This window comes from Homo sapiens, chromosome 8 (genome assembly GCF_000001405.40).
Source record: "Homo sapiens chromosome 8, GRCh38.p14 Primary Assembly".
Taxonomy (NCBI): Eukaryota; Metazoa; Chordata; class Mammalia; order Primates; family Hominidae; genus Homo; species Homo sapiens.
This window is the reverse complement of record NC_000008.11, coordinates 105,047,022-105,070,793: the sequence shown is the minus strand read 5'-3', so window position 1 is coordinate 105,070,793 and position 23,772 is coordinate 105,047,022. Positions and strand designations below refer to the sequence as shown.

The 23,772-nt window shown below is 35.6% G+C and overlaps 1 annotated feature.

Moving 5' to 3' along the window:
* Positions 472–1,671: an enhancer, noted in NCBI's record as "P300/CBP strongly-dependent group 1 enhancer chr8:106081351-106082550 (GRCh37/hg19 assembly coordinates)". NCBI's record gives its function as "activates an origin of replication core promoter dependent on BRD2, BRD4, P300/CBP, MED14 and CDK7 cofactors, with strong dependence on P300/CBP, by STARR-seq in HCT116 cells {active_cell/tissue: HCT116}" and the evidence as "EXISTENCE:reporter gene assay evidence [ECO:0000049][PMID:35650434]".

The window sequence follows — 23,772 nt, the reverse complement described above, 5'->3', positions numbered from 1 at the left end:
CATTGACCTGTCTCTCACTGCTTATCATCAGTCATATATCAGGTCAAATGTCACCTCCTTATAGAAATAACTGTACTGAACACATCATTTAGAGAAGCATCTTCCCTCATGCTACTCTTTTTTTAAACTTGCTGTCACCCTCCCATATCCTGTCTCACTGTCTTTATAGTACAGATCATGATGTGAAAATATTCTGACTATTTGTTTATTTTTAATTGTGTGCTTCCCTCTCCATTCCCAGCTTGATTTTAAGAAACAAGAGAGCAAGGGCCATGTTGACTGTGTATTCTTATCAATTAGACCAGTTTCTAGAACATAGTAGATAAAAAATATTTATTGAAGAAAGGAAGGAAGGGAGGGAGGAGTTAAAAGGAGGGAAGAAGAAAAGAAGGAAGAAAGGGAGAGGAACTAAAAATCAGAAAGGGAGAAAGAAAAAAACAAAGAAAGCTTTGAGAGAGGAGGAATGAAGGAAGATAGAAGTGGGGGGGATAGAAAAAGGAAAAAAGGAAAGAGTGAAGGAAGGAAAGGATGAAGGGAGGGAGGGAAAAAGACGAAGGGTGGAAGGTGGAGGAGAGTGAAGGAAAAAATGTTGCCCTCTAGTAAGGCTAATAATAACTGCTTGGTTTAAAATCTGAGGATGAGTAATCCTATTAGGGTTTGACTACATCATTGTACAATGGGAATAACAATAGATCAAAAGAGATAAGGCAAGCTAAGTGCTCTGCAGTGCTTGACACATAATAAATAGGAAGTAAACGTGATACCCCATTGCTCATGTTCCTCAGATTCTTTTCATTCTCAGTCACTTGATCTGACGCAGTTGCAACCATTCAACTCTGCTCATGATAGTCCTATCATCTGGAGCCAACATGCCTGACCAGCCACAAGTCCTGAGTCCCTCTCATCACCTCCAGACTGGAATGCAGCACCCCACTGAGGATTGGTGTTGGGGGTGGGGTGCTCCAATAGATGAAATTTGGCCAAGGAGAAAGAAGAGATAGGAAATGTTGACATCAAAACAGATAAATACCCTCTTGTTCCCTCTCACTTTCTGTTCTGAGGCAGTTTCATCACGCAGTCTGATCAGAGATGGTCTTTGTGGCCAAGAAGGTATACCTCCCAAGCAACCATCTTTGTCTCTTTTAGGGTTTTTATAAAGCAATGGCCAGTGACGTAACACATCACTTTGCATTGCTTCTCATCCTTACCTACTTTACTTTATCTTTTCTCATTTTCCATGTCTTAGAATTGCACTTCCTAAATAAAGCATCACCTCTTAATTCTTGACTCACGCTCTGTTTTGTAGGGAATCTTGGATAAAAGTATTTATAAATAAAATAGTTCTACCAGTTTACTCTCCAATCCCTACTTCCTAACAGCCTTAAGGCACTGAATTTTAAGCAGTGTCTAAGGGTTTGTTTGAGAGGGCTGCTTTTTATCTATATTTACATGGTCTTCTTGATAGCTCAGTTGCTGATGATCACTGAAGGTAAGAACTTCAGTATACATGATTCTTATGGAAACTACCAAACAAGCCTTTCCATGTTTTAACAGAATCAAAATATAAAACACTGGGGCAGAAAAATATGAAATATATTTGTAAAACAAATGTATAAATTAGTGCTAGGGGATGTATGGCTAATGATTATTACATAAACCCTACCATTCTTTAAATTAGGCAGAGAAGATCTTTTAGAACGGGTCCTATCTGAGAGCCCAGTTGAATGATGGGAGGGAGGTAGTTGACAGAGATGGGCAGAAGTGTTATTTCTTGGCAGAGGCTGCAACTTGAAGGTGGAAGTTAGTAAAAGGCTTTGAAAACATGTTTAAAAGAGCAGAAAAGATTAGTAAGAGTAGTTGAAGAAAAGAAAAGTGAGTTCTGTGTCTCCTTAATGAAATGCTTTGAATCAGAAAAAAAGTTTTGTTTTTGTTCTTGATTTAAATGCATGAGTGAGATTCCGTTAAAATGACCCAGGAAGCACTAGATTCATGTCATGGCAGATATTTCATAGAACTTTAGCGAACTGGTTTAACTGTAGTTAAAAAATAAAAATAACTTGATCAATTGTTATTTTTAATTGTTTGTCATTGAACAATTATCTGGTGTTTTATTAGACACCTGTAAGATAGAAATCGAATACAATACACATTGATTATCCCTTATCCTAAGTGCTTAGGAGCAGAAGTGTTTGGATTTTTTTTTGATTTTTGAATATTTACTGGTTGATTTTACTGGTTGAGCATCTCTTTTCCAATAATCTGAAATCTGAAATGCTCCAATGAGTATTTTGAGTATCATGTTGGTGCTCAAAAAGTTTTGAGTTTCCTTTCCTTTGGATAAATCATATCAAAGAGACATACATCTTCACCTCATGCTTATTGAAGAACAATTAATAATAGCCTAGATATGGAATCAACCAAGGTATCTAACAACAGATGAATGGATTTAAAAATGTGGTATATATGCACCATGAAATACTATTCAACCATAAAAAAGAATGAAATTCTGTTAAATGTGGCAACATGGATAGAACTGGAGGACATTATGTTAAGTGAAATAACCCAGGAGGGGAAAGTTAAAAATTGCATGTTCTCATTCATAGGCAGGAAATAAAAAGTTGTTGATCTCATGTAAGTAAAAACCAGAATAGAGGAAGTAGAGGCTGAGAAGAGTGGGGGAAATGAGAGAAAAGGGGAGATTTGTTAAAGGATACAAAATTACAGCTAGATAGGAGAAATAAGTTATACTATTCTATACTTCTGTAGGATGACTGTAGTTAATTAACAAAAACATACTAGTTTCAAATAGCTAGAAGGAGGATATGGAACTTTCCCAACACAAAGAAATGACAAATGTTTCAGATGTTGGATATAGTAGTTACCCTGATCCAATCACTACACATTTGTATTCGTCTGTTTTCACATGGCTATAAAGTCTGGGTAATTTATAAAGAAAAAGAGGTTTAATTGGCTCACAGTCTTGCATGGCCAGGGAGGCCTCAGGAAACTTACAATCATGGTGGAAGGTGAAGGGGAAGCAAGGCACATCTTACAAAGCAGCAGGCAAATGAGTGAGAGAAGGGGAAAGTGCCAGACACTTATCAAACAATCAGATCTCATGAGAACTCACCCACTATCACGAAAACAGCATGGGGGAAACCGCCCCCATGATCCAATCACCTCCCACTAGGTCCCTCCCTTGACACATGGGGATTACAATTTGGATTACAATTTGAGATGAAATTTGGGTGTGGACACAGCCAAAGCATTTTGACATCATATGTATTAAAACATCATCTGATGAGTACATATAATTATTACCAATTTAAAAAATAAAATTAGAAAACTTTTGGATTTTGCAGCATTTCAGAATTTGGATTTTTTGGATTAGGAATACCCAACCTGTATAGGCTCTGTCACTTATTGACCCCTTTCTGACGTATAGCAAATCATTCAATATTACTCAGCCTTAGTTTCTTCCTTTGCAAATAGAGATGATTGTGATATGGGAGGGGGCAGGGAAGTGCTGGGAGGAGAAACATGGGGTCCCTGGCTAAGGCTCCACCCTCGGACCTGTGCCCATGGACCTAGGTGAGGATAGGCACTCCTGTTTTCACGTCAAAATGTTGCATTTTCCAAGAACATTCTGGCCCACCACGCCCCGCATTCTGTGCTATAAAAACCCTGAGACCCTAGCGGGCACACATACAAGTGGGTGGACGTCAAGAGGAGTACACCAGCAGAAGAACACACCGACAGACACCGGCAGATCATCAGCCACTGAATGATATGGACGCCAAGGAAGTTCAGCCAATGGCGTTTGGAGGAGAGCCTGGTCACTGAGCAGCCCGACACCAGGGGAAGAAAACCTTCCCACTTCATCCCCCTTCTGGCTCCCCATCCATCTGCTGAGAGCTATTTCCACCACTCAATAAAACCTTGCACTCATTTTCCAAGCCCACTCGTGATCCGATTTTTCCTAGTACACTAGGGCAAGAACCATGGGATACAGAAAGCTTTCTGTCCTTGCCATAAAGCAGAGGGTCTAACTGAGCTGATTAACATAAGCCACCTGCAGACAACTAAGCTGAATGAGTACACTGTAACACACGCCCAATGGGGCTTCAGGAGCCATAAACACTCATCCCTGGACACTGCTGCTGCCACAGGGCCAGAGCCTAGGCTCCCCACGACCTGCCCGCCTGCATGCTCCCCCTAGGGGTTTGAGCTCCTGGGCACCAAAGAAATGAGCCACGGCCCTGACACACGCCCTGCGAGACGGATAAGGGAAAACTCCTCCCATTTCCATTACACATACTTATGCACATCTTGTAGGGAACAAAAATGTCTTAAATGTAAAGCCCTTGGCTCAATAACATACATAAGAGAACCAAAAAATGGCAGTCATTATTAGTGGTGATAGTGTAATAGTAAGTAGTATTCTTAAAAATCCCCCAATTTCTTAACCATCAATTAAAAATCACAGTGACTTAATCTCAATATAATATTCTAATAAATGTTCTGGTCACCATTTGAATTTAGACTGTGCTGTCCTCAAGTTTAAGGGCTTGTGGCTTACTTATGTTGATATGTTGTCTTAATTGAATTCATTCCATTTATGACAAATTAGATTGTACTTCAAAATTTGCCTTATTGTAAGATGCCTCTTCATCCAATACTCTACTGCAATGGCAATATCCCTGCCTATATGACAATTAGTCTTATCACTCAATAGACTGGCAATTCTGTGGTACAACTATGTAAAAAAATTCTAGATTCTTACAATTCATGAAAAAATATATGGTGCTTGTTCATTACTAAATCAGCCAAAAAATTGTACAGAGCCTAGGTATGTGCATAAATGATTGAAAAAATAAAAGAATAAATGAACAATTGAAGAAAATCTCTATTAGATATAATGAGAAACACCTTTTGCTTAAATCCACTACTAGTTTGGGACACTCTCTTTATTTGTGATTTAAAGTGTTTTTCGACTAACTCAGATATCTAAACCCCAAATCCATTTTTGAAACAAACTCTAATGACACCAAAGTGCCAGTCAAAAAGAGTGATTGTCCCACAGACTCTTAGCTGATTGATACTTATCTTAGCAATTTTTACTCACAGATCATAGCTTTAGATTTGGTGGAAAGGAAAAAGTTGTGAAGCACTTTGAATTGACCTAAAATTAAAAATTGAATTTGGCTTCCACTCAGGAATTCATAGAACAGAAAATGCTGGCTCCTTTCTGAAGCCTCCCCTGTCACAGCCTCTTGTCCACTCCTCAGATCCATCACACCCCTGGCTTACTCTCTTCTTGACATGTATCATAAAGCATAACAAATATTTGTTACATGTGTTGTGAGCAACTGGAGGCCAGTAACTAACAATGAATGCACCTCTTTCTTTATATTCATTTCCCCCCCAGATATTGACTGGATCCTCAATAAACATAGAACTATCAAAATGATATGATGTATGATGATATCTAATTCCATTTGGTTCTTGATGAAATCTCAGTAAGCTTACTTCAGGGTTGATCTGAACTGCAACTAAGCATGATGTCATCCTGTGAGATCCTAAACTATACCCACCTCCAGTATATACATACCTTATTAATACCTATGAGACAGCCTACGAGATTAAGCTCAACTGGAACTCAATCTTCAAGATCTTTCTGAAGCACACTTTCCTCATAAAGCTGTCCAAGACTAACCCAACCACAAGGATTTTCCTCTTCTTTAAATACTTAGCTCACATTTTATAGAAACAAGCTTATAAATAAAAAACACGAGAGAAACTTGCATGTATTGTTCCTATCACCCTATAGATGCTTAATTGTATCCTTTCTTATGGTAGATCTTTTTCTTTATTATAAATTATTGAAATGCCTTTTTATTTTCTATGTCATGATTAACTTTTTGATATTTTTGGGATCTCTATTGTTAACTGTAGGGCTAACTCTTTGAGGATAAGAACCGTATTTCATCTTCTTATGTTTCCCTTCCTAATGTCAGCTCAAAGCCTTGCATATGTTGGGTGTTAAATGCATGTTTGTTGAAATAAAAACATACATGGGAAAGCTCTTTTTCAGTAATTCACATCGGATGGAAGGAACAGCAACAGCTATAATGAAAAATTCTACATTCTTTTCCAAATTTCATTTTTATAAACAATGCAAAAAGATATCCGATTCCTCCTCTTGCAGTAGCAAGTCAAACCTAAAGTATTGTTAAACTCTTTGAATACTCATTTAAGTAGTGTAGCTAAAATCTTCTTAGAATCTAATCTTCTTACAATCTAAGTCAGAGGAAAGTGTTCAAGGTAATAATAATGCACTAACAGGTATTGTGTGCTTACTATGAATCAGGGACTGTTAGAAGTATTTTATATTTATTGTGTATTTTAAGCTTCATAACAGTCCTATAAGTACACTTATTGCTGTTAGTTTCACAGATAAAGAAACTGAGACCCGAGAGGATAAGGAGTTTGTCTAGGACCAAAAGTACCAAGGGCTGGTATTCAAACCCCAGCAGTCACATTCCAGCATTCTTGTTATAGCAATATACATAGCTGCCTTCTAAGATGGCTCATTCTTCTCAGATTATACTGATCATCTTCAAAATCTCCCTTAAATTTCCCAAATCAAATTTACAAAATCACTAATGCACCAGGCTGAATGCCAGTACACACTGTTGTCTGGATGAGGATGTTACCTAAGGTTTACAATTGCCAAACTAGCACGTGATATACATTTTGATTTTTTTAGAATCAAAAGTGAATGTAGGCTTGTATCATTCAAGTATATATAGTCCTTAATTAGACTTGTCTTTAAATTTTGATAAAGAAACATCCATGAGCACTTGTAAGTTTAGAAGGTCAAAGCAGTGATATAAATTCAAAACCTGAGAGTTTATACAAATTAAAACTGAAAAGCATATCCTGTACCCATGAACAGTCTCTGATAATTTGCAAAATACTAAAAAACATTCAAGGTATTTAGAAAGACTATAAAGATGTTTTATGAAGATGGCACACACACACAAAAACACTTTCTCATGAGCAGACAGGAAGCCTAACTTGGAATTTCAAATTAACTTTTTGTGTGATGCATTATTTAATAAATGTTGGCATTAATTTTTAAAGGGTTTAATTTGCATACCATTACTGGGCCAAATGGTTGATGAGGATCACAATTAAAGAAAGATGCACCATTCATTTTACTAAGAAGAAAAAAATCCAGCAAAGTCAAATCTTCATCATTAAACTGAATAAAGGCAGCCTATAACTGCCAAAAATGTAGAACTCCCTGACAGATGCAATTTAACTCCTATGATTATTTAAATCAACCTCCTTTATGTATGACCCTAAGCAAAAACTCAGTATCTTCTCAAAGAATAAGTATTTTTTAATACTATGGACTTCAGAAGGAAAAAAGGCATTAGAACAGAAAAGCAAATTAGAGATTTTAGGTTTGGGAATATATGTAAATATAATTTGAAAGAATATGCCATCATGTAATGTTACACTATAGACATGAAGCACTTATGCAAAATGGAAGACACTTCACTAGCACACTAACTAGCTTTTACTTCCAACATGATGCAAGCTGTGTTTAGTCCAAAGAAGTTATACAGAAAAAAGGCACAGAGTCCACTGTCATGTAGTTTATTATCTAAACCAAATGTATTGTTTTCACATGCACCCCTATTACAATCTTCTAAAGGGAAACATACTATTTACTGAGTTACTATGTTCCAGGCAAAAGATTAGCGGTCATGTGCAGAGTGAAAAACATGTATATATAATAAAGTCCGTGGGTGACCTGGCAGCCGAGCATACCTGGAGTGCTGGAACAGGGACTGGAAGCACCCACTGTGACAGTTGTTGATCCTAGACAAAGATATTCATTCACACACTGGTTCTAAACACTGATTGGGACCCTAAGTACATTTGTCTGCTATGATGTACCCTTGGTTTTTATCATGAGCTTTGCGTAGTTGGTAGACCTGAAAACCTTAGGATGGGTGGTGCCATCTTGGGCTGTGTCCATGAGGACCCAGAGTAGATAGCTTTGCATTATGTCCATTCAGCCATCATACATTGCAATGATGGACCAAAGCTGCAGAAGCAAGCACTTCAAAATAACTGCATAATCTTCCCCAACAAGTTCCTCAACCTCAAATCTTGATGCTGAAATAGTCACATAAAGTGATGTTTTTGCAATTACACAGGGCCAGACACTGGAGATCATCTTCAGCTTTAATAATCTGTTGCTTTGATGAAGCAACAAACAACAATAACCACAATCTCTATAGGGACCACTGATAAGATATTCCCAAAGGACAGGCGAATGACAACTTTTTTGTGTGTGGGGGCAGGGTTGGGGGATGAAAGTTGAAGGGGTTCTTTCCTATTTCAAGTAACTTTTAAATTGTTGTTAAAGTAATTCATACTCTTAAGAGATTGGAAAATAAATATTTGAAGGAAAGACAACTCATGATGACTATGAAGAGACAAACTCTAATGAATTTTGGTGTTGAAACTACCAATTTTTTTTTTTTTTTATAATACAACCATGTGCAGTAGAAGCCCTCTTGTTGGATAGCCAGCAATCTTTTGGTTAATCAGAAAAGATTTTATAAGGTGCAGAGTGTTTGGAACTTATATATATGTAATATGTAAGTTTAACTTAATTTATACATAATCATTTCTTTGCTATTTTTTTTATGTAGGACTAAGCTTTTTTTTCTGATTTCAGGTCTTCTCATGGGATGTCCATGTCATCTTTATAATATAAATCATATTCCTAATGGCCCATAAATGTTTTCCAGATTGTTTTTTCTGAAATTAGAACAATAATATAAAGACACTTAAAGAAATCTCCACACAGAATTCTGGATTTTGATCATTTTCCCTGGTGTTTCACAGTTACCTTGTCTGCATATAATTTCAGCAAATTCTCTTAGCTACTCAAATTTATTAACTTTTTCTACAGTATTCTCTTTACTTTACACAAGACAACTCCTTTCAGCAGTAAGAGCTTACTAGACATTTTAATTTGTAAATAGACTTTATAATAGCAAGTAAAAATGGTATTAATGGCATAAAAACAAACATTTGACTCTTAAGTCTACATAAAAATCAACAGGTGAAACAAAGTGTGGGTATTCTAGGGAGCAGCTGGCTCTCCATAAGTATTGATACCAGTGAAGATACTTTACCAAGGAAGGAGGGAACATCAGCTGCTTTGAGAAATAGAGGGCAGATAAAATAACTTCTACAGAAATAGTTTTACAAATTGGGATTATATACTCTATTGTATATCAATATATTATTTTTTATCACCCACATGTATTGAGAGCATTTTCCCACATCATTATTTATTTAAAATGTGAATTTTAAATGGCAGCATATAGTCTACTAACATGCACTATAAAGAATTCAGCTAGTCTACTACCAGGTACTTAGGTGGGATATTTAGGTTGCTGTTATATTTTTGCTATTAAGATCATAATACCACAATCTTAATGTGAACTTCTATTTTGTTAGACTTTATTCTTAGAATATTTAAGGGATCAAGCAAAACAAATATTTTAAAGGCATTTCATACCTATTTCCAAACTGGTTGTCAAAAACATTTGTATTATCTACTATTGGTGGTATTGATGAGTAGAGTAATAGTATGAGATTGAATATTTTCAGCACCTTACTCAATATTTTGTATTTATCTATTTCCTGCCTTTCCAATTTGGACATATATTATAAATATTTATTTTCAGGTGCTTCCTTAGCTCTTAGTTACATAGTAAATTTTATTTTCATATCAATATTTTTAAAAATTTTACCTGTGTATCAAAATTTAGGTTTTACTTTTAGATTTTACTTTTATATCAAGAAGTTTTAGATTTCTTAGGTAGTCATAAGACCAGTCACTTTGTTTTATTTTTTAAAATTTTTGCTTGAAAAGCTATATCTACAAACCTCAAAATAGATAAATACGCCTCAGATTTTCTAATAATGTTACAGTGTTATCTTTTATATTTACCTCTCCAATGTATTTTAGATATACTTTTCCATGAGCTGCAGAGTAGGGATGATATGATTTTCCAAAACAGTAAACTAATTTGGGGCAAGTTGACATGTTTACTGTATTATATTCCCATTCAGGAACAAGACATTTTTCTGCTTAGCAAAGAATATCTGACATGGTATAAATATAGGACCCCAAAGTAAATTTTAGTTAACTAAACCTTTTAAAATAATAATAAAATTTAAACTTGTTACAATATTTAAAACTCACGTATATTTTCTTAATTTTCTACATTTGATATACAATTATATTTCAAGCCACTATGTGTTCACTGAATATTCTCAATTTAGTGTTTCTCAACAGACTCACTCTTCCTGGCTTACAACCAAGGTCTTGCAGATCTGGAATTTTCTATTTCCAAGCTCCTTTCAGAGAATGAGGAGTGAGGGATTCATTCATGCCTTGAAATCCTGTTCCTTCTGCTCCTGTGAAGTGCTAAATATTGGGAACTCTGTAAGGCTTGCTGCTTCTCTGAGTTCCACCCTGCATGTTATGCATAAATCGTATTGTCCATGGAATTGTTAAATGCACCTGGGATTCTATTGTTTCATTTCCACTCTGAGAAGTTGTTCTTGGAATTGCAGCAGAGCATACAGTCCCTTCTCAAGGATTCACCACAACAGAGCCCTTCTGCTCTTCCCTGATTTCCTTTCCCCCCATGCATAGGAATCTTCATTAGTCTGGATGTAATGCAATCTGGCTCTTCATCTACTTAGCCAGAAGATTGTCTTTTGCTTCAACTTGATGCCTTGAGTCTTCTAGTGTTCAGACTTTGAAGTTTTAAAAAAGCTTACTCTCTTGTGACTTAAAGACCTTCTCTTGCAGGACTGTTAGCTCTGTCATGAGTTTCAAAAGCAAAAATTGACAACTTTTTGATCTCTTTTCTGGTCTGGTATTATCTGAAATAATGGCCATAGAATTATCTTGCTCCTGCCTGGATTGAAGTGCAAGGAATAATGATCATTGAATAATAGGAATAACCAGGAATAGAAAATACATTATTAAGATTTACTATTATAAAGATGTCAATTATCCCTCAGATTGAAATACAGATTCAATGCTATACCATTCAAAATTCGACCAACATTTGGTTGACAGTGACTACCTGTTTTTAAAATTAATAAGGAAATGCAGAGAATCAAGCTTAGCCAAAGCACCTTTGAAGGTCACATGGGAGGACTTATCCTCCTAGATATCCTACTAGATATCAATTAAGATCATGTGATATTGGCAAAGAATAGATATGTATACTCCTGAAAGGGAATAGGTCTATCAGCAGACCCATGAATATATATATAACAAATCCAGTGTCTATATATATAATATGGTATATTATATATAGATGGACAGGTATATATAATACATATTATATATACCTATATTATATATTATATATACATATATTATATATACCTATATTATATATTATACATATATTATATATACCTATATTATATATACCTATATTATATATTATATATACATATATTATATATACCTATATTATATATTTTATATATATACATATATATGTATATATATATATGGACACTGGATTTGTTAAAAAGATCAGTGGGGAAGGGGAGGTCTTCTCAATAAATGGCCTGAGTCAATTGTCCATCTATCAGCAAGAATGATTAAACATGATCCCTCTTCTATTACACACAAAATTCAATTTTAGTAGATGTAAATACAAGAGATAAAAAACAAAATTCATAATATAAGGTAACATTCATGAAAATTATGTTTTTAAAATAGGATATTAAAGAAGCATTGCTATAAAGAGACATATTTATAAATTGGAGTACATAAGGGCAAAGATTTTTGCAACACATCTAACCAACAAAGGGATTATATGCAGAATATATAAAGAATTCTTACAAATAAATAAAAGACAAATGCAAACAATTCAAGAGGAGAAATGGACAACATACTTTAATAGGCACTTCACAAGATGATAGACAAACAGTAAAGGAATATACATATTTTTTAATTTTTGTATTTTTTTTCTTTCTTTTTATTATACTTTAAGTTCTAGGGTACACACAAACCTACACAACATGCAAGTTTGATACATAGGTATACATGTCCCATGTTGGTTTGCTGCACCCATCAACTCATCATTTACATTCAGTATTTATCCTAAGGCTATCCCTCCCCGCGTCCCCTGCCCCACGACAAGCCCCAGTGTGTGATGTTCCTCCCGCTGTGTCCAAGTGATCTCATTGTTCAGTTCCCACCTAAGAGTGAGAACATGCAGTGTTTGGTTTTCTGTCCTTGAGATAGTTCACTGAGCATGATGGTTTCCAGCTTGATCCATGTCCCTACAAAGGACATGAACTCATCCTTTTTTATGGCTGCATAGTGTTCCATGGTATATATGTGCCACATTTTCTTTATCCAGTCTATCATTGACAGACATTTGGGTTGGTTCCAAGTCTTTGGTATCGTGAACAGTGCTGCAATAAACATATGTGTGCATGTGTCTTTATAGCAGCATGATTTATAATCCTTTGAGTATATACCCAGTAATGGGATTGCTGGGTCAAATGATAATTCTAGTTCTAGATCCTTGAGGAATCGCTACACTGTCTTTCGCAATGGTTGAACCAACTTACACTCCCACCCACAGTGTAAACGCGTTCCTATTTCTCCACATCCTCTCCAGCATCTGTTGTTTCCTGACTTTTTAATGATCACCATTCTAACTGGTGTGAGATGGCATCTCATTGTGGTTTTGATTTGCATTTCTCTGATGACCAGTGATGATGAGCATTTTTTTATGTGTCTGTTGGCTGCAGAGATGTCTTCTTTTGAGAAGTGTCTGTTCATATCCTTTGCCCACTTTTTGATGGGATTGTTATTTTCTTGATAATTTGTTTGAGTTCTTTGTAGATTCTGGATATTAGCCCTTTGTCAGATGGGTAGATTGAAAAAATTTTCTCCCATTCTTTAGGTTGCCTGTTCACCCTGATGGTAGTTTCTTTTGCTGTGCAGAAGCTCTTTAGTTTAATTAGATCTCATTTGTCTGTTTTGGCTTTTGTTGCCATTGCTTTTGGTGTTTTAGTCATGAAGTCCTTGCCCATGCCTATGTCCTGAATGGTATCACCTAGGTTTTCTTCTAGGGTTTTTATGGTTTTAGGTCTAACATCTAAGTCTTTAATTAATCTTGAATTAATTTTTGTATAAGGTGTAAGGAAGGGATCCAATTTCAGCTTTCTGCATATGGCTAGCCAGTTTTCCCAGCACCATTTATTAAATAAGGAATCCTTTCCCCATTGCTTGTTTTTGTCAGGTTTGCCAAAGATCAGATGGTTTTAGATGTGTGGCGTTATTTCTGAGGCCACTGTTCTGTTCCATTGGTCTATATCTCTGTTTTGGAACCAGTACCACGCTGTTTTGGTTACTGTAGCCTTGTAGTATAGTTTGAAGTCAGGTAGTGTGATGCCTCCAGTTTTATTCTTTTTGCTTAGGATTGTCTTTAGCCAAGGAATATTTTTAAAGCTGCTTCACCTCATTAGACCTCATGGAAGTGCAACTTCAAGCCACAGTGGGATGCCATTCTACACCATAACAGAATGTCTAACAATGAAAATATTGGAAATGCTAAGTTGGCAAAGCTGAGGAGCCACAGGAACTGATACACTTGTGATGGAAATGCAAATTATTGCAACCACTTTAGCATTGACATATTCTGCTAAATTTGAATGTGTAACGCTTCCTAACAATTTCACTCCCATAGAACTGTGTTCACAGGTGCATCAAAAGACATTTATGAGAATGCTAATAGCCAAAAATTGGCAACAGCCCAAATGTTCATAAACCGAAGAATGAATAGTTATTTGGTGATACGCTTATACAGTGCAGTCTAGAAATCATAGTGAATGGGCTAAACCTGCATACACAGATGGATGAGTCTCACAGACATTATATTGAGTAAAAGAAGCTAGAAACAAAAGAGTGTGTACCATATGATGATTTTTACATAAAGCTCAAAAACAGGAAAAATTATACTATGGTGTTGACGTCAAAAGAGTGGATCTTTGGGCAAAAGTGAAAGAATAGAAAACGGGAGGTTCTCAAGGGGGTTTCAGGATGATGGTTGTATTAGTCCATTTTCATGCTGCTGATAAAGACATACCCGAGACTGGGTAATTTATAAAGGAAAGAGGTTTAATTGGCGCATGGTTCCATATGGCTGGGGAGGCCTCACAATCATGGCAGAAGGTGAATGAGGAGCAAAATCACATCTTACATGGATGGAGGCAGTCAAGAGAGCTGGTAGGGGAACTCCCCCTTATAAAACTGTCAGATCTTGTGAGACTTATTCACTATCAGGAGAACAGCATGATAAAGACCTGCCCCCATGATTCAATTACCTCCCACAGGGTCCCTCCCACAACACGTGGGAATTGTGGGAGCTACAATTCAAGATGAGATTTGGGTGGGGACACAGCCAATCACTGGTAATTTTTTAAGATTTCTTCACCTGAGTAGCATCTAAATAGGCTTCACAATTATGATCCATTGCTTATTTGTAGGTTTATTTCAATTTTAAAAGTTTTAAAAGATATCATGATGCCGGGTGTGGTGGCTCACACCTGTAATCTCTGCACTTTGGAAGGCTGAGGTAGGTGGATTGCTTGTGACGAAGAGTTCAAGACCAGCCTGGGCAACATGGTGAAACCCTGTCTCTACAAAACATAAAAAAATTGGTGTGCTAGTACATGCCTGTAGTCCCAGCTACTCAGGAAACTGAGGATCATGAGCCTGGGAGGCAGAGGCTGCAGTGAGCTGAAATTGTGTCACCACCCTCCAGCCTGGTCAAGAAAGCGAGACTCTGCCTCAGGAAAAACAAACAAAAAAAACCTATTTATATTCCTTTGCGTATGTACCCAGTAATGGGATTGCTGGGTTGAATGGTATTTCTGTCTGTCTTTAGGTCTTTGAAGAATCCCCACACTGTCTTCCACAATGTTTGAACTAATTTATACTCCCACCAAGTGTAAAAGCCTTCCTTTTTCATCGCAACCTCGCCAGTATCTGTTTCTTGACTTTTATTAATAGCCATTCTGAATGTGTGAGTTGGTATCTCATTGTGGTTTTGATTTGCATTTCTCTAATGAATATGGCATGGAATATTCTCACTTATAAGTGGGAGATAAATGATGAGAACACATGGACACATAGAAACAACACTATTTGTTGTCTTATTTTCCATTGTTATGAAAACTTTACACACTGGGTCCTATCAGAATGGAGGATGGGAGGAGGGAATAACTAATGGATAATAGGCTTAATACCTGGGTGATGAAATAATCTCTATAACAAATCCCCATGACCCACATTTACCTCTGTAACAAACCTGTACATCCTGCACATGTGACCCTAAGCCTAAAAGTAAAAAATATATAATGTTGATAATATGAAAATGCTATCCTGCTACATTTGCTATGTAACTTATACATAAATATACCATATCTACACATAATATATATGAATATGTACATATTGATGGGAACAAATATATTAAAGGTGCATATAAGTTTAATTTGTTCTGTATATAACAGAATCTCTCCCTTTTCTCTTCTGTATTATTTTCTTCTGCATTACAGATGTATTCTCAGCTTCAGTTCTCTTCAACATCATGAGCCCAATTTTCTGTGATACCAGTTATCCTTACTGCTTCTAATGCTGTTATTAGTAATGCTATTGAATCTTTAGATTCCTTGGGGACTTCCCTTAGTTTTTACACACCTTTCCTTACCTTTTTTACTCCCTCTCAGCTCATTCTGTTTTCTCTAATATTAATATATTATTTTTATATATTGTTCCATAAACTCATATTTTAATTTTGTTAATGATTCAAAGCAGGTGATTTTTGAATTTTTCTTTAGACTCCTGGGGAAATTATTTTCTGAAGTTAATTTTTCTCAGCACCTAGAGTGCAATGTCGTATTTATGAGTTTCAGAATATATGTATAGGGTACTTTTCTTACTTGTTAATCCTTTATTGAAAAAGTTGTTGTCTATCCAGTACTACCAGCATAGTTTGCCTTTATAGATTCCCAGATAGATATTAGAATCCCTCTAAGACCTAAACCTGGAGAATTTGTTGTTGTAAACATTGCTCAATGAGGTATCAGTTATACTTTATTAAGTTTTGTGAATATACAAACTGGAGGAGAAATCTCTTGGCACCCCTGCCTGACTCTTACTAAAAAGAGCAGAATTTATTCTTGGATGAAATTACCTATGATCCTTTCTTCCCTTGCTAAAAAGATAAATCGCAAACTGTAACTCACAGGACAACTAATTTCATGGTCCTTATAAGTTTAGCTTCTTACTCCTGCCTAGCCCTTCAGTGCTAACCTCAGAGATACAAAATCCAGTTCTTACATTCCCAAGCAAGATGCCCTCTTGTGTCTTTTAGTAAAGGGAAGAGGTGGAGAGAAAACGTTTTGGTGAGGAGAGAGGAAGAGGTAAGGAACTGAACTGGCCCTTCTCTCCTTATAATGCAGCTCTAAGAGCACAGTCATTCCCTCTTTCCCACTGTCAAAACCCCATGAATCTATATTTTGAGTGGAAAGGAAACAGAGGGGAGGGGAGAAATGTAACTCACTTACCACCTTCCTACCTCATGGCCCACATTCTTTGATGAGTAGAAATTCTTCCCAGGTTCAACAAATAGTTGATTATTATTCCCATTTTCCGTTGTTCTTAAAACTTTACATCTTATTTTTTATGACGATTCAATGGAAAGGCATAATGGAGTGAATCAGGCATTTTTACTTTCTCTCATCACAATCCAGAAGTATTTTTTATGAGGCCTTCTCCAACGTCAAACTAACTTAGTTCAGGAGGAAAGGTCTTTCTCCCCATTTGGCCCCATTCTCATTTGAGTCCAGTCATGGGGGTAAAAAAAGAGACAGAAATATAGGCAGAAGTAGCAGCAGCAGCAGATAGGAGAGTTGAGGCAGAAAATGTTAACATACAGAAATAAGTGCTTAAGTGGCTCCAGGCACCACTGCTCTCTGGGGCCAATAACTCTTTCTCTTTGAACTTCATCGAGTAACCTTACACTTGTAAGTTCACCAACAAGGTTTAATCTCAGAGATGGTCCCGTATACACTATGGTATGAAAGAGCGAAGTTGATAATAATCTTTCCATTCTTCTCCTCTCTCTTTATCTACCTAGTTTTCATCTTTTGTTTATTTCTTCACATTATATGTCCTTTACTGCTTTCATTATAACTCACTTTATTATTCCAGGTGTGAGTAGTAATTACAATTATTTAACCTACAGGGAAACAAAATTTAGAGGGAGAGTATATTCAGAAAATACAAACTTTTGAATTACATTTTTATATTTAAAGACATAAGCCAAAATTCCAAACTATTTAAATTTGAAAGGCAATATCTTCGCTACTGATGGTTGTAACTTGCCAATAGTAGATGAATAGATGGCTAAAAAAAAGCAAGTAAACATTAGGAAATTCTGAATCCCACCACTTACACGCTTTAAAAATGATGTAACTCTTCCTCAAAAGTTAAGCGCATTTTCCATAGGAACAATACTACTCATATTGACATAATATGAGAACAATATTAGAGGTATTTATGGGATACCAGGCTTTTTCCTGACAGTTGTCAAACCAAGAATCACCCTCATTGCTTCTGTGGGAAAATAACCCAAGTTACAAATAACCAACTTGTAAATAAATATTTAAATTGATTTTTAGCTATTGTCAGTGGAAAACTGTCTAACTAGCTTGAGATTAAAATGTTCTTTATTAAATTAAAGTTAGAAGCTAGTTTATTTTTCAGGCAACCACCATACAAATCAAGGATGGCATTTGTGTGTCTGTTACTTCATTCTGCAGTTGGTGGTGTACTGGCAGTGGACCAATGCTTTAAAGTATGAAGGTGGAACATCTCTCCAATCTTTCTTACCTCCATAAACCATTCATTTTCTATGTTATTTTCTAAGTTCCTTATGTTACTGTATTGATCGTAAGATAATAAGTTTAGTCAACCATAAAATGGTAACAACTTACATGCAGGCATGGAAATGTTTTTAATTTGAACTAGTTTTACTGGATGAAGGTTTTTAGGTGTCCATAATATCACAGAGACAGGATGTATGACAAATGCAAAATAAATTAAGTTGTGTCTCACTAAAGAAGCGGGCACAATTACCAGAATTGCAGTCTGGGCATCTTTCCTTAAAAATAACTGAACGCATAATAAAGGGGAAAAGTCCACACATCAGGAAAACTGGCAGAGATTCATGTCAGTGAAGTTAGAAGAAATATGTATTCAATCACCTGTGATGTCAAAGGAATTTTTAATGTTTGCTTTATAATTTTAAAAATTACTTTAAAATATTTTAAATGTGAACACTAATTTTTGAAATAAATTACTGAAACCTAAATAGAAGAGAATAGAGACCAGGAATCAAATTCTTATTCTGGCACCAAGAATCAGTCTGATTTGGCAAATTTCTTAATAGGCCTGGACTTAAATGTCTTTATCTGTATAACTAAGCTTTAATATGAGATCCCTTTCAGCTTTAATATGTCATGATTATAACATAAATTACATACATTCTAAAGAAATGAAAAAACTTAATGGATATATAAACAGTGGTTTCTGTAACACAGGAAAGACAGAGTTCATGAATATTTAAGGAAATATCTACTATTATCAAATGTATTTATTTCTGAAAATTACTTCTAAAATTAGCAGCCTCAACAGTAATAATTACAATAATAATGTCAGCAACAGTATTGAGTGCCAACTATATTCCAGGCACTTCACATAGAAGATCTTGTTTAGTCTTCCTAATAGCAATACAAGATAAATTTATCTCTATGTTATGGATGTATAAACTGCTTGGAGAGGGTAAGTTTCCTAAAGTCATTCAGACAGAAAGCAGCAGAAACAGAGCTCTAACCCACATCCCTCTGAACCAAAACACTCTTTCAGCAGAGAAAGTTTTAGTATTTCCTATCTTATTTATTCATTAGCTGTCATAAAAAATGGACATCTATACTCTAAAAGTCATTTTTCTCTAAAAACTAATATTATATATTATTAAGCTTTCTAGAATATTTAAAAAGAAAATAATTTTTAAATATATATTTCAATAAAAAAATCACAAATTTTAAGGTAGTATAGAGTTATATATAGTTGAAAAAAATCTTAAGTCACAAAAACTTTATCAATTATCTGAACATAACACAGCTGAACTTAAATATCTATTTTTATCAGACCTCCATTATGTGGCCAGAGTTTGAATCCCAACATAACCACTTAGCATGTTTGTGATCTTGAACAAGTAATTTATCCTTTTATGCCTAAATTGGTTCCTGTATAAGAAGACAAAAAATTTATTTCAAAGGATTATTTTGAAGATTTAGTGGCATAATAAATATGAAAGTTCTCCACAAAATTAAAGCACTAAGTACATTGTTAATTGAGAAAACACCATGAAAGATTTTTTGTCTTTCTGACACTATTTCTTTATAGAGGCTTCTAACTTAGAAATGAATAGGTTAAATATTGAAAATGTTGGTAAAACCAGAATTAATCTGAAAAGAATTAGTATCCTTCTAAATTATTTCTGGGATATTAATTGATATAAACTTTTGGCAATGTCTTTTGAAATTGTGAAATGTGCCTAGCCTTTGATTCATCATTTCCACTGTAGGAATTTATCCTAGAGGAATATTTACAAAGTTTTCAAAGGATTGAAGGTCTTTTTAGCAAAAGAACAAATGAACCCACATAAACGTTCATTAAAAAATTGCAATACATCTATGTAATGGAACACTATATATTTTAAAAGGAAGATCTTATAAACACTGAAATATGAAGATGTCCAAGATGTATTGTGTTTTGTTAATTCAAGGAAATTATGGACATTGTGTATGTCATAATACAATTTTTTAAAAAAATGCTTAGCTATGCATATACATTAGAAATGGGCTAGAGAACTGTAAATGTAACTTTTTTTTATTATACTTTAAGTTCTAGGGTACATGTGCACAACGTGCAGGTTTGTTACATATGTGTACATGTGCCATGTTGGTGTGCTGCACCCATTAGCTCGTCATTTACATTATGTATACCTCCTAATGCTATCTCTCCCCCCTCCCCCCACCCCACGACAGGCCCTGGTGTGTGATGTTTCCCACCCTGTGTCCAGGTGTTCTCATTGTTCAACTCCCACCTATGAGTGAGAACATGCGGTGTTTAGTTTTCTCTCCTTGCAACAGTTTGCTTAGAATGATGGTTTCCAGCTTCATCCATGTCCCTGCAAAGGATATGAACGCATCCTTTTTTATGGCTACATAGTATTCCATGGTGTATATGTGCCACATTTTCTTAATCCAGACTATCATTGATGAACATTTGGGTTGGTTCCAAGTTTTTGCTATTGTGAATAGTGCCGCAATAAACATATGTGTGCATGTGTCTTTATAGTAGCATGATTTATAATCCTTTGGGTATATACCCAGTAATGGGATGGCTGGGTCAAATGATATTTCTAGTTCTAGATCCTTGAGGAATCACCACACTGTCTTCCACAATGGTTGAACTAGTTTACAGTCCCACCAACAGTGTAAAAGTGTTCCTATTTCTCCACATCCTCTCCAGCAATGTAAAGTAAATTATTAACAGTATCTGCCTTTATGGACTGAAATAGGTGCTGTTGGGTACGGGAGAGTAGGGAGAACTCTTGCTATCTTATATGCGCTAGTTTTTTTTAATCTTTTAATTATGGGCGTGTTTTCTTTAGAAATAAAATATTTTAAAGAATCACTACTATTAAAGAAAATGTATAGATATACATAAAAATAAATACACTGGTCAGGGATGGGGCAAAGAATAGAAAACAATAATTTGTTTTCACAAAGAAGCCCACAATTTTTACAAGCTCAAAGGTAAATCAAGTAATGTAAATGAATATTTATGATATAGATATCAGAAGGAGCCTAAAACTATGTATGGTGATTTTTTTGAAATGTGTATATTCCAAGTGATGGAATTTACAGTACCACACATTTTTCTGTAGGATTTTTAAGACTTGAAGGACAACTATAATTAGGGTGCAGTGTTAGGCATCATTTCATTTGCCAATTATCTTTTTTCTTGTGAATGTAACCTCTGTCATTTGGGTATTAGTTTATTCACTCATAAATTTATTGCACATTGACTAAATGTCCAGCACTGTGCTAATTACTGGGTTTATATCTCACACAGAAGTTTCCAAACTTTCTCAGTTGACTGAACTTTAGCATCTCGGTAATTTTCTCAGGCATCACTAAGGCAAAAGAATTACTAACCAGTTCTATCTATTAAGTAGTTGGATCCAAACAACCTACTTACTAAGTATTTATAGTCTAACAACTTAGCACCTGTTGGGCAGTGCACAACTTCTAAAATTTTTGAATCAGATTAGATACCACTATCCTCATTTTCTGTTACATTGATTTTTGTGTGGTTCTTGCTTTTGATCATGATGATCATTGAAAGCTCAGCTTCAAAAATATATGACATAATTGAAACATAGTAATCTAATGTTGAAACCATAAACTTCTTTGTGCTAGTGGTTCATACTGTGTCCAATAGATTCTATGTTTCCTTTGAGCATATCACATATGCCACAGTATTCATCAGCATATTGTGATGGCTTGGTTCACAGTCTGTGAACCACCAGTCTAATGGGATAGCTGCTCAAATAAAACATTGATTATAGTTCAGGTAATAAGTCTGATGATATAGATGAGCCTCAATGGCTTTGGCAGAGAGGAAAGTTCATATTCCAGAGTGTGTGTGTTTTTGAAGTAAGGAGTCAAAGTAAGCTAAACCTCAAAGAAAAAGTAGACTGGGGCTTCCATTGAAGGAAATTACCATGTCTATTTCAGTCAGTACTATACCCTTAGGGTGTGGCATAAATATTAAATGAACACTTGGTAACTGAATAAGTGAATGGCAAGTAGAAGCTGGGCAGGTAAAATAGGTAGAAGTTGGGCTTGAAGGGCAATCTTGGCAAAGGGAGTAACGTATTCAGCAACATGGAAGCATGCGAGCACATGGTACACTCGGAACTGCAAATGATTCAGCATGGCCAGAGAGCAGTGTGTGATTGTTGAAGGGTCCAGATGCTTATTGGCCATTTTTTTCTATACTAAGAAGTTTGCCCTTTATCCTGAAAGCAATGAATATAGTTCTTGTCTATTTCTAGTAGAGGTGATATATATATATTTGCATTTTGGAAAATATTACAGAAGAGTGAAGCTACTAAAGACAATGCTTGGACTTGGATAAGAAAGAAAGATTGAGCTGATAGATCTAAAGTTTTTAAAAAATAGGTAAAGGATAATATTAAGCAGGTGATGGTGACAAGGATGAATACAAAATGGTATAACCAAATGACAGAAACCTCAAATCAGTATGCATTTTAAACCTGAGAATGAAGCAGGTAGTTCTGTATATCGGGTGTGAAAGAAGTAGTAGAATGTGAGTTCTAGCCTCCTGGCCCTGAAGCACAACTTTTAGTATTTTTCTCTAGTGTGATCTACTGGTGACAAATTTCTCTTAGTTTTTATTTGTCTGAAAATATATTTGTTTTGCCTTCATTTTGAAAGGGCACTTCTAAACTGACAATTATTTTCTTTATTTTATAGATGTGCTTCCATTGTTTTATGCCTTTTTTTTTTTTTCAGGATAGAGTCTTGCTCTGTCACCCAGGGTGGAGTGCCATGGCGCGATCTTGGCTCACTGCAACCTCCACCTCCCGGGTTCAAGCAATTCTCCTGCCCCAGCCTCCCAAGTAGCTGGGATTACAGGTGCGCACCACCACGTCTGGCCAATTTTTGTATTTTTAGTAGAGACGGGGTTTCACATGTTGGCCAGACTGGTCTTGAACTCCTGACCTTGTGATCCGCCCGCTTCGGCCTCCCAAAGTGCTGGGATTGCAGGCATGAGCCACCGTGCCCGGCCTGTTTTATGCCCTTCATTATTTTGTTGAAACGTCAACCATTCCTTGGAGGCATTGTATCTGTTTTGGCCAGCAATTCTTGAGATTTTCTATTTGTCTTTGGTTTCAGCAGTTTAATTGTAATGTGCCTATGGGTAGACTTTTTGTTGGTTTGTTTATTGGTATTGATATTGCTCTTATTTTATTTACCCTGTTTGGGTCTTATAGCCTTTCTTAAATATTTGATATCTTTCATCAATTTTGAGAAACAGTCATGTCTCATTAAGTACTGCATATGTCCCACTTTCTTCTAACTTTGTCTGGACTCCAATTACATCTGTTGGCATATTTTACCATGTTCAAATATTTTTATTCTGTTTTCTGTATTTTACCATCCCCATTTCCCTTTATGTTTCAGGCAAGGTATCTTTTATCTTTCAATAGACTAATCTCCCAATTCACTAATCTGGTTTTCTGCCGTGTGGAATTTGCTGTTAAACCCATCTTTTGATTGTTTTTCTACCTTCAGTTGTTCAGTTTTAGAATTTTTATTTAATTTTCATCTATTAGATGTTGGTCCTCAATTTTCCTTGTCATCATAAATATTCTTGAGTGTATTCATCACAATCATCTTTAGCTCCTTACCTGCTATCTCTATTAGCTAGAACAATATGGCTTTAATGCTACTGCC